Genomic DNA, 12,103 nt, shown 5'->3' with positions numbered 1-12,103 from the left:
ATGTTATGTGTTTCTGGAAATTTGCCTATTTCATCTAGATTATCTAATTTGTTAGCATGCAGTTGGTCATAGTAGCCCTTTATGATTTCTTTTATTTCTGCAAGGCCAGTAGTAACATCCCTTTTTCATTCCTGATTTTATAATTTGACTCCCCATCCCTTCCTTCCTTCCACCCTCCCTCCCTCCTTTTCTTCCTTCCTTCATCAGTCTAGCTGAAGATTTACCAATTTTGTTGATCTTCTCAAAATACTGACTATTGGAATCACCACCACTAATATCTGTTGTTTTTTCTCCATTTCATTTGTTTTCTCTTTAATTGTCTTTTTTTTTTTCCTTCTGCTTGCCTTGGGTTTAGTTTGCTTTTCTTTTTCTGGTGTCTTAAAGTAGAAGCTTAGGTTATTGATATGAGAGCTGTCTCTTTTAACATAGTTATTTGCAGCTATAAATTTCCCTCTGAGTACCACTTTCACTACATCCCATTAAGTTTTTCTATGTTTTGTTGCGTTTTGTTCTTAATGTGTTTTTTAAGTTTTAAAAAAATTCCTTCTTTGACCCATTGGTTATTTAGCAGTATGTTGTTTGATTTACACATATTTGTGTATTTTCTAAGTTTTCTTCTGTTATTTTTATTGTCATTCTATGTGACCAGAGAACATTCTTTATGAGAACATTGTATTATTTTCCTCTTTTTAAATGTGTTGAGACCTGTTTTGTGGCCCAACATGTTGTTATCCTGCCAAATGTTTTATGTGCACTTGAGAAGAATGTGTATTCTGCTGTTGTTGGGGGAGGGTTCTATAGATGTCTGTTAAATCTAGTTGGTATATAGTTTTATTCAAATTTTCTGTTTCCTTGCTGATTTTCTATCTAGGTTTTCTATTCATTATTGAATGCGGGGAATTGAAGTTTCCAACTATTATAGTTGAATTTTCAATCTCTCCCTTCCAATTCTGCCAGTTTTTGTTTTATGTATTTTGGGCCTCTCCTGTTAGATATGTTTATGTTTATAATTGTATATCTTTTTTTGTTTTTTGTTTTTTTCCCCAATACCAATAAGTATTTATTCATTGTATTTTCTTGGAAAAAAGAAAAAGGGGGAAAGGAAAAGCATGTGTTACAATAGTGCAACAGAAAAGAAGTGCCCAGTACAGCAAATTGACCATCAAATAAACACACCCCAGTGATAAAGTCATCAGAGTCCAAGGGAGCTCAGTCTCCTGCAGTTCAGGAAGACGGGGAAGGGATCAAGAAAAGAACAGACAGGTACACACTCAGCCTACCTTCTGTCCTTCCCTCTTCATGAATTCAGACTTTTGCACAAAGCTTTAGTTTCTATCAGTAAACATCGAGCTGCATTTGTCCTTCTCTTGTCTTGTGGCCACTTTGACATACATTTTTTGCACCTATATAAAAGCTCCTGAGTGACTTAGATACATTTATCTTCCTTTTCTTAGTCTCCCCCCCAGGATGAGACACATGTCACCCAATACATTCTATTTGCCCTGTTTGAACAAAGGGATGTAAGTTTATAGTGCTTTTACGGCAGGTAAATGAAACTCCCTTTCTCTTTAGCTACTATGACTCTACAATCACTACTGCAACAATGCAGGACAGTGGCTCCAGATACTATTAACAAAAGCCCTTGGTAATGGGTCTAGGTCTCTAAGTCCAGAATGTTCAAAAGTTAAGGATTTTTTGTTTTATTTTATTTTTTTAGAATAGGGATCTCATTCTGTCATCCAAACTGGTGTGCAGTGGTATAATCATGTTTCACTGCAGCCTCGAACTCCTCGACTCAAGTGATCCTCCCAACTCAACCTCCCGAGTAGCTAGGACTGCAGGCACATGCCACCACACCTGGCTAGAAAAATTAAGAATTTTTGTCTTTGCTTCATACATTTATTCCTGGGCAACACAGATGGGTACAGGCATTTCATTTAAAAAACCTATGCTTACCAGCTCATACTTTCAGACACACACACACACACATCTTAATGTGCATGGTAGATTTAGTTTAATCTCAGTGAAGGATAGATCTGGTGTGTGAAGCAAGTCTAGTACTCTAGGATTAGAGACTTGGAATAGGAATCCTTTATTGCATATGTAGACAACTTCATCTAACCTTGTTCCTCTCTAGGCCTTTCACCTGGCCCAGGCTCTAACCTTTCAGCACCACCTTCCTATTCATACTCATGTCCAATCTTCCAGTAAAATGAGATCAAGTCATGGGACAAATCAACTAAAACCAAGTATCCCAAGAAACATTATCAAGCTGGAGGAGCTTTAAGAAGACATTGCAGTAGAAAAGCCAGCCCTTATTGACATAAATGAGATAGTCCAATAGGCTGTATACTCCAAGTAGCTGTTTTTTGTGGTGATAATTTAACAACAACAAAAAGTATTCCTGCTTTGCAGACCTGGAGCAGCTGTCAAATTATCCCTGAGGTTGCCTGTGTACCTCACAACAAAGTATAAAAATAAGGACCTTAGATTAAAATATATAAAAATATTTTTATTAAGGAAAAAAGTTAAAATTCACAAGATACATCATTTGCACACATCAAGTTCAGTTGGCCTGCTGGAGAAAGTAAGAACCAAGGTACAGTTGTTCAAAGGAGCAAATTATAGTGCCAGGTGCAGTGGCTCACACCTGTAATCCCAGCACTTTGGGAGGCTGAGGCTGGCAGATTGCTTGAGCTCAGGAGTTTGAGATCAGCCTGGCAACATCACAAAATCCTGTCTCTACCAAAAGTACAAAAAATTAGCCAGGCATGGTGGTGCGCACCTGTCGTCCCAATTACTCAGGAGGCTAAGGTGGGAGGGTCACTTGAGCCCAGGAGGCGGACGTTGCAGTGAGCCGTGATCGCACCACTGCACTCCCGCCTGGGTAACAGAGCCAGACTGTGTCTCAAAAAAAAAAAAAAAATTGTAGTGGCCCAGAATGAAGTAGGAGTAAGCTTAGGAGTTGCAAATCTGCAGCTGTTTCCTCAACTGCCCCTTTTGCCCATAATCATACCCGTTGCTTGGAATAGTTCCCGGCTCCCTATCTCAAGAATGGGTTATGAGTAGACACATGGAAAAGCCCTGCCCTAATCTACCTGAGAGATTCCCTCCCACAGAATGTTGTGGCTTCTTGGTTGGGTCCATGAATCTGGTTTCATGCTGAATCTTTTCATTCTGGTATAGGAAATATTATTATATATCCTTGTTTAAAAGGAAAAGGGGTTGCCTAGAGTGGAGCCTAAGATAAAGCATCCTGGTTCTAGGGAGATTTTCCACAAAAGCCCTCACTTTTTTTGCTTGAATAGCATGGTTAGAATTAATTTGCCTTCACCCCCACCCCCACCTTCCTCCACAAGGGAAGAGAGAGTGATTGCCATGGATCCTGGCCTGAGATACATGGCAGTGCCAGCTGCCCCCTACCTGCCCCATCCTACTTTCTTTGCTCTTTGCTAGTTGAGTGAGGGAATATATTAGTTAAGTGAGGAAACTGAAATTCAGATGAGTGGTGTGTCCATGATAGCATAGCTGGGGAGCAGCAAAACCATTATGTGAGCCCAGGCTTTCCAATGTTAAGTCTGCGGTTCCTTCCATATACCACAGCTATCTTTCCTTTAGTGTAATTGTTTAAAGACTTCATGATTCTTCATTCTCTTTGGAAAATCTTATTTCTAATACTGTTTTTGGTTCATATTTTTATATTATCTTTAGCAGTTGACTAAATTTGTTAAACGTTTTAAAATACTGGGTCAATTCATTGGGGAAAAAGAAAGTCTTTAATAAATGGTAACCATCTAGAAAAAAATTCACTTCATATACAAAATTCATATGCACTTCATATCTCACTTTATTTACAAAATTTATTCCAAGAAGGATCATAGGCCTAAAGTAAAGCCAAACCATAAAGTCTCTAGAAGCCTGCATGGTGGCTTCTGGCTGTAATCCCAGCTTTGGGGGAGGCTGAGGTGGGAGAATTGCTTGAGGCTAGCAATTTGGGACAAGCTTGGGCAATGTAGTAAGACCCTGTCTCTAAAAAAATTTTGTTTGTTAAATAAGCTGGCATGGTAGTGCGTGCCTATAGCCTCAGCTACTCAGGTGGGTAAAGTGGGAGGATCACTTGAGCCCAGGAGTTCAAGGCTGCAGTGAGCTGTGATAGTGCCACTGCACTTCAGTCTAGGCGACAGAGAAAGACTTTGTCTCTTAGGAAAACAAAATTACAGTGTAAGAGAATGACAGTAATGATACTTTTATTATTAAAATTAATATCTTAATATCTTTAAATTGTGAAAAAATAATTACTACAAATAGAAAAACCAGTGCATCAACGTTTTTAGCCAGTATTTTATTTTTCTTGTCAGGGTGAAATTTGCATATTATTAATTTCAAAGATCTCGAGTGTATAATTCGATGAGTTTTAGCAAATGTATAATTCAGTATCATAGCTCTAATATATTGGTCATATTCTTTCCTTGCTATCCCTGTAAGATCACTAAGATAAGTTCAAAATGTTTCTGTTCTCCATGGCTACCATAAAAACAAAACCCCAAGATTTTTAGAACCATTAAGGTTGATAATTGTAGTAGCTGATAAGAAGGTAGTTGGGGTTGGTTGTGGTATCTCACACCTATAATCCCAGCACTTTGGGAAGCCAAGGCGGGCAGATCATTTGAGGTCAGGAGTTGGAGACCAACCTGGTGAACATAGTGAAACCTTGTCTCTACTAAAAATACACAAATTAGCCGGACGTGGTGGTGGGTGCCTGTAATCCCAGCTACTTCGCTTGAACCCGGGAGGCAGAGGTTGCAGTGAGCCAAGACCGTGCCACTGCACTCCAGTCCGGAAGACCCAGCAAGACTCTGTGTCAAAAAAAAAAAGAAGGTTGTTGGTTGGTATCTAGTACTCTTCTAGGCACCTTAGGCCCAAATTGTGAAACGTCTCTGAGGCAGCTAATGCTAGAGTTTTCTAATGTAAATTTCATAATTAGTACTAGTAATGCATATTAATTATATCTTAGGTGGGACACTCCAATAGCCTAAATAACCAGCATAAGTTTATGAAGAATTATCTCCTTCTAGCTGCCCTTTTGTTTCTAGTTGACCAGACACTACAGTATCTGTATTTTAAATATTTTAGCATAGGCTGACAGTTCAAAATAGTGATAAAGTATCCTTTAAATCCCATATTTTATCCTGCAAGAATTTTTAGTTAGTACTCTCTAGACTGTTTATAATAGGTTTAAAAAAATCAGTAAAATGTAGGCACTTTTTTGGTAGTGTATGCTTTAAACAAGGTGACAAAGTAAGCTACAATTTGTGAAAGAAATTGAAGGAAGGAAAGGAAAATATCATATCTATTTGAAATTATTGAGAGAACATTGATTTTTTTTTCAGGCAGAAAAATCGATGCCCAAATTTTAGTTTTGCTAATGTACAAGATTAGACCTCCTTATAAAAAGTACAGTAGCATTTGGGTGGGGCTGATTGCAGCATCTTAGAATGTGGCATTTCTTTTGTTTAGAAATGGTGTTAAATAACTCTAAGGAGTCAGGAATTATTACAAGCAGGTTTGTTTGTTTGTTTGTTTGTTTGTTTGTTTGTTTGTTTTTTGAGACAGAATCTCCCTGTGTCGCCCAGGCTAGAGTGCGGTGGCGTGATCTTGGCTCACTGCAACCTCTGCCTCCTGGGTCCAAGTGATTCTCGTGCCTCAGCCTCCTGAGTAGCTAGGACAACAGGCGCGCCACCATGCCTGGCTAATTTTTGTATTTTTAGTAGAGACAGGGTTTCTCCATGTTGCCAGGCTGGTCTCCTACTCGGCCTCAAGTGATTTACCCACCTTGGCCTCCCAAAGTGCTGGGATTACAGGCATGAGCTGCCAGCAGTTGTAAATTATTATAGAAGTGGTTGTGACATCTATTTTCTTGCGCGCGCGCGCGTGTGTGTGTGTGTGTGTGGTGTGATCCACAGCTCACTACAGCCTCAACTTCCTGGGTTTAAGTGATCTTCCCACCTCAGCCTCCAGAGTAGCTGGGACCACAGGCATGCACCACTATGCCCAGCTAATTTTTTGGTACTTTTTGTGGAGACGGGGTTTTGTCATGTTGCTCAGGCTGGTTTCAAACTCCTGAGCTCAAGCAATCCTCCCACCTTGGCTTCCCAAAGTGCTGGGATAACAGGCATGAAATGCCCTGCCCAGCTGACATCGCTCTCTTTCTTTCTTTCTTTTTGTTTTTTGTTTTGTTTTGTTTTTTTTTATTTTGTTACATCCTGAGTCCTTGCTTTTTTCTAGCCAAATCTAGCCCTCTTACTCTTTCTTCCTGTTTTTCTAAAGGGCTCATAGGTAGCACTCATCCTTGCTGAATGGAAGGATTGCTGACTTCTCAGTTAGTAGCTCAGTCTTCTCTCAAATCCCAGTATTCTTAATTCTTCCTTTTGTGGGAGACTAATGAGTAGGCCAAGATCTTCAAAGTTTGGGAGTTGGCAGAATGGAAATTCTCAGATGGATTCTAGGATTACTTTTAAACCTCTTCAGAGATTAAAAGTTAGAGGAACTTGGTACAACCTTGAGGGAAAGAAAACTTAGGGAAGTAGGGTTATGCCTTTGTGTGTACCAGTAGGGAAGATAAACAAAAGTGCATATTTACTGAAGAATATTTAGTGGTATAGTAGGGAAAGGGTAGCTTTTCAATTTTCCTTCTGTGTATAGTAGTTGTAGATAGACATTTTTCTTTTTAACCAACACAAATGACCAAAAAAATAAAAAAAGAGAGAAGCCTCAGTATTTTTAAAGTGAGGCAAAAATACACACACACACACACACACACACACACACACAGAGCACATGCACACTCACAGAGTTATTTTCTGAAAGCTGGAAAATTGTTTCCAAGGAGAAATGTATGATCTACAGTTAAAATGTTTAGACATATGGCAATTGGATAAAATAATTTTTTGGTGAAAATAGAAAAACAGATAGATATAGATGTACATTAGGGTAGTGACTTTCATTCCTTGTACATACACAGTGAAGTAGTTCTGGGCAATAAATTCTTGGAAAAGTAGAGTAGGGATTGGATAAATGTCATAGTTTATGACTGAATACATACAAACAGGTAAAAACTCAAGATGGAGAGGTAATAATAACCACCCGATAAAGAGACTTAAAACCCTTTCACTGTACAAAAAAAAAGATTGCTTTAGAGTTATAACTTGATATTATAGTTTGATTTTTTAAAAGATATTCATCGCATTTGTGGCCACTATGGATACATAAAATAAACAATGCCTTTCATTTCTCAATATAATTAAATATTGTTTCCTAATATTTAAAATCTTAACTGTAAAAAAATTTTTTTTGAATGCTATAGATTCTGGAACTAATATTAAGATTACTAAAAAAGATGACACAGCCACTATTTCTTCCATAGGTCTCTTAAAAATAAAGGATAGTTGACCAGGCAGAGTTAAGGAACTATTTCAAATCCTCTACCAAGCTATATCCAGTATGTTGGCAATGTATGAGCCATCAGACCTTTCCTATATCCCCCAGATCCATCCTATGCTGTCTGTTCCACCTCTTATTTCAGATTTCTCATGCCTTTTTCTGTGACAGACTACTGCAGCCAACTTTGAATTTTTCCTCTTCTCTGAATTTCGTAGCATGCATACTAATTTAAAACCTCTTTGTTGTTCTTCTAACTTTTGGTAGATACTCCTTAAGGCCAGAGCAATTTGTTATATTTCTTTGTACACATTAGTACACATTTAGCAGTGCTGGTGGGTGATCAGTAAGCTTATGGAAAGCAAGTTTTAAGGGAATTCAGGAAAGGGAACAATTAATAGTATGATAATGGATGTTTGAAGGAAGGGGATCATGAATGAGGACCTAAACTAAGGAAAGTCTAGGTCTTGGGGAAGATAAAAAAGAGGATGTTCCAAGCTGAGATCACAAAATGATCTGAGGCCCAAATGCACATAGCCTAGTGACTGAAGCTGTAGGTAACAGTGAATAATAATTGGATGTATGAACCAGTGAACAAATTAGTATATTCTGAGTAGAGCAAGATGGCCAAATTTACTGGACTGTTCCTTGTAAGTCATTCGTTCCTCACACATTTTTTAGTTCTCTAGGATATAAAGATGAAAAGATAATATTTATTTTCAGGAGCAAATTCTAATGGAACAGACAGAACTTATTAAAATATGTTACCTGAAATAAGAGGTATGCCCAACACCTATGGAAACACAAAGGAGGAAGCTGCTAAGAGGAAATTTGTAAGACAGGCCAAATCCTCAAAGGCCTTAAATGCCTGACTCAACTGTTTGGACATTATTTTGGTGATTATTGAAGCAAGATGCTACATCAGACCACTTTGTGAAGCTGTAGGACAGCAGTGATCCTTCCTAAGGTTTCTGTGTGAGGCTTAGTAATAGGCACCTCTGAGAGTTTTCCTGCCCTGGCCCCATAATTATACTTCAAGTTCAGCTGAAAGCAAAAGTCAGGGTATGGTTGGGAGAGTTGGCCATCTCTAACCTGTTTGGAAATACCATCTCAGAAGGTAGTAACCCTTTAATGCTAAAATTTAGTAAATATCAAATTGAGATGTTCTAGTTATTATAGAGACCTGAAATATCTACCTTGAAAGAATAGTGTTTACTTTGAGAGTGATAGTTGAGTATATTTGTAATCTGAAAAGCAAGAGCAAGGAAACAAGTTTGAATTTTGCTGATTTTTTAATGGTATATAATTTCAAAGATCTATAACTAAACATAGCTATTTCTGTCCTTAATTATTATTTATTTCCAGTCATTTGATCCTTCAAAAATCACAAGGAAGAAAAGTGTTATAACTTATTCTCCAACAACTGGAACTTGTCAAATGAGTCTATTTGCTTCTCCCACAAGTTCTGAAGAGCAAAAGCACAGAAATGGACTATCAAATGGTTAGTTGAACATTCTTTTCTACTTATTGTAAGGTTTTTCTAGTTATTGGCCAAATCAAAATTGTGATTTAATTATGTATGGATCTTGCTACAGCTGATTTTTCTCTTCTCTCAAATAATTTAATACCTTAATATAGGTATTACTTTGGACATAAATGTAAACTTTTGGCACTTATTTTAAAATGCAACTGCAGGCTTTGTTCCCTTACTATCCCATCCATTAAATAGAAATTATGGCCTGACTTGCCTTCAGCTACTATCAATTATAATGGTTACAGATATGCCCCTTAACAAGCTATCCATCATGTGCATAAATTAAAGGGAGCATAATTCAGGTGCTGCTGCACTACAACTTAAGAGTGATACTTCTAAATGTTATTTTTATCCATGGTTTCCATTGAGTTTTACCCACATTTAGTATATCTTTATATAGCTTATCTTTATTTATTATATTTCATTCCCTTCTTTTTCTTGACTATTTCAAATGTATTTACAAAAGGTTTGTAGAATTTTTCCATAGAGAAAAATCTAATTTTAATATGAAATTCTTTATTTTAAAATATTATTAGTTTAATTTTAATTTTGACCATACATATTTGTTGTCCTCTGGTAGTTCATTGCTAAAATATTGATTTAAAAACACAAATCTCGATTCCGTGGGGTTTTTTTTTTTTGAGAAAGGTTATGAATCAGTGACATGTAGTTTTATAATTAAAATTTTAAATAGGCTCAAATTTAATAGTGTATCCTTTAGATATACTGTGATTAGCCTAATTCACATTTTATTGTTTAACATTTAATGAGTGCTAAGCATATACTAGAAGCTACCCAGAAAAAAGAAGTCTCATTTTACCTGATTTGTTATAATGTAACACATAATGAGATCTTAAAGTTTTGAATGTCTTTAATTTTACTTTAATCAAATGCTTTTTATCCTAAAGCTGTTACTATTAGGTTCTCTTTCCCTAAAATGTATGAAAATGTATACACTTTAAGTTTCATAGTTCTATTTTTATATGCATGATATATCTTTTTAATTAAAAATAAATGCCTTAGAGATTGTACATCCCTATACTGAAATGTGAATAGATTTTAAGTTGATATGTACTCAATTTCCATATTGAAATTAAGTATGGACTTAAGGGGACATTCCTTTTGCCCATAAAAAGATTGGTCACATGATTTCAGTTGGCATTTAAGTAGATAATTATCACAGATTATAGTCCTAAGTAAGCTCTTTTTTAAAAAGTCAGATAGCAAGGGTTTCAGAGGTGCTGGCAATGTTCTGTTTTTTGACCTACATAGTGGTTACACTGATTCACTCTAGTTATTCATCAGACTGCACATACATGTTTCATATGTGCTGTAATATATATATCTCACATATAGAAGTCTCGAAACAGAATTTTGTCCAGAATTCTGTATGAGATTATGTCATTTGTAATCATTACATTGCTTATCCTAATATGTCATCTTGTACATGTTTTAAAAATAAAAAAGCTTGATTTTTAGGAAGTAACTTAAGTTCAAAATAAATGAGAAAATATGACGTATGAAGTCATTTAAATTCTAAATGAGGTCATAATCTCTTAACAACTCCCACTTTTAAAATATTATACAAAACATAATATAAAATTTAAATTACATTTTCAAGGACATTTTTGGTGTTACTCACTTCCCATCACACTTATGATAAGATCCAAAACCCTTATCATGACATGGAAGGCCATATATCCATCTAACACCCAAACACCTCATCTGCCTCATTTTCTACCCCTTTTTTACACTACTTTAGCCACTCTTACCTTCTTGCTATTTGTCAGTCATGCTGAGCCCCTTCTTGCCACAAGGTCTTGCAGTTCTCTCCACCTGGAATAATCTTCCTCCAGATATTTATATGTACTTTCTATGTACATTTGAACCATGTACTATGTGAACAGAAGACTTAATATTATATTTAAATCCATTTGTAGTTATAAAAGGATGAAAAATTTAGTTCTATGTCTTCCTTCTACTTAGATTCTACATTGGCCAAACATGGGATTTGTTTCAACTCTTTAGTTTATACATTTAACAGATGCGTTCATGCAGCACATAATAACATTTCAGTCAGTGACAGACTGTATACACATCAGGGGTCCCCCAAGATTATAATGGAGCTGAAAAATTCCTATTGCTTAGTTGCCCGGTAGCCGTCATAACATTGTAGCACAACACGTTACTCACATTTTTGTGGTGATGCCAGTGTAAACAAACCTAGCTCGCTGCTAGTCATATAAAAGTGTAGCATGTACAATTATATGTAGTACATGATATAGTCGTGTACTACATAATGATGTTTTGTTCAACAAATGACCACATACAATGATGGTCCTGTAAGATTATAATACCGTATTTTACTGTGCTTTTTTATGTTTAGATATGTTTAGATAAACAAATACTTACAATATGTTACAATTGCCTACAGTGTTCAGTACAGTAATATGCTGTACAGGTTTGTAGACTAGGAGCAATAGGCTATACACTAGGTGTGTGGTAGGTTATACAATGGAGGTTTGTATAAGCACACCTACGATGTTTGCACAACAATGAGATCACCTCATGATGCATTTCTCAGAATGTATGTCCATAGTTAAGTGACACATAACTCTATATGTATGTGTGTATGTTATGTATCATTTATGTATTTTTTAATTTGTATGTACATTATTTTGCTGCCCTCCTCCAACCCATAGCAAGTTTCTCCAGACTATTACAGTTGACCCTTGAACAACATGGGTTTGAACTGCACAGGTCCACTTACATGAAGATTATTTTCAAATAAACATACTGGAAAATTTTTTGGAGTTTTGTGACAATTTGTAAAACCCTGCAGACAAACTTTATAGACTGTAAATATAAAAAAAAAAGTTGGCTATGCCATGGATGCATAAAATATATGTAGCTACTAGTCTATCATTTACCATAAAACATACACAAATTTATTATAAAAAATAAAATTTATCAAAACTAATGCATACAAACACTTAGACCCTACACAGTCCCATTTGCAGCTGAGAGAAATGTAAATGAATATAAAGATGCAGTACTAAATCATAACTGCATAAAATTAACTCTAGTACATACTGTGCTACTGTAATAATTTCATAGCTACCTCCTGTTGCT

The 12,103-nt window shown here is 36.2% G+C and overlaps 1 protein-coding gene and 1 long non-coding RNA gene across 16 annotated transcripts in view; one reads left to right on the top strand and one right to left on the bottom strand.

The window, feature by feature from the left end:
* Nucleotides 1-11,068, bottom strand: part of LOC102724319 (uncharacterized) — a 29,842-nt gene extending 18,774 nt beyond the window's left edge. The window contains exon 1 of the long non-coding RNA XR_426701.4: nt 10,744-11,068. This is a non-coding gene — a long non-coding RNA (uncharacterized LOC102724319). The remainder of the gene's footprint in view (nt 1-10,743) is intronic.
* The window catches only part of ITGB3BP (integrin subunit beta 3 binding protein), an 88,418-nt gene that overhangs the window by 30,167 nt on the left and 46,148 nt on the right, over nt 1-12,103 (top strand). For all 15 annotated transcript variants that reach the window (NR_045147.2, XR_007058557.1, XM_047416577.1 and 12 more), the window contains one exon: nt 8,803-8,938. Coding sequence is in view for 13 of the 15 variants with exons in the window: in NM_001347145.2 (NP_001334074.1) it covers nt 8,803-8,938 (136 nt within the window). In the remaining 2 variants the exon portion in view is untranslated. The remainder of the gene's footprint in view (nt 1-8,802; nt 8,939-12,103) is intronic.

This window comes from Homo sapiens, chromosome 1 (assembly GCF_000001405.40).
Source record: "Homo sapiens chromosome 1, GRCh38.p14 Primary Assembly".
Classification (NCBI taxonomy): Eukaryota; Metazoa; Chordata; class Mammalia; order Primates; family Hominidae; genus Homo; species Homo sapiens.
The sequence above is the reverse complement of the archived record's forward strand: the minus strand, read 5'-3'. Positions and strand labels throughout refer to the sequence as shown.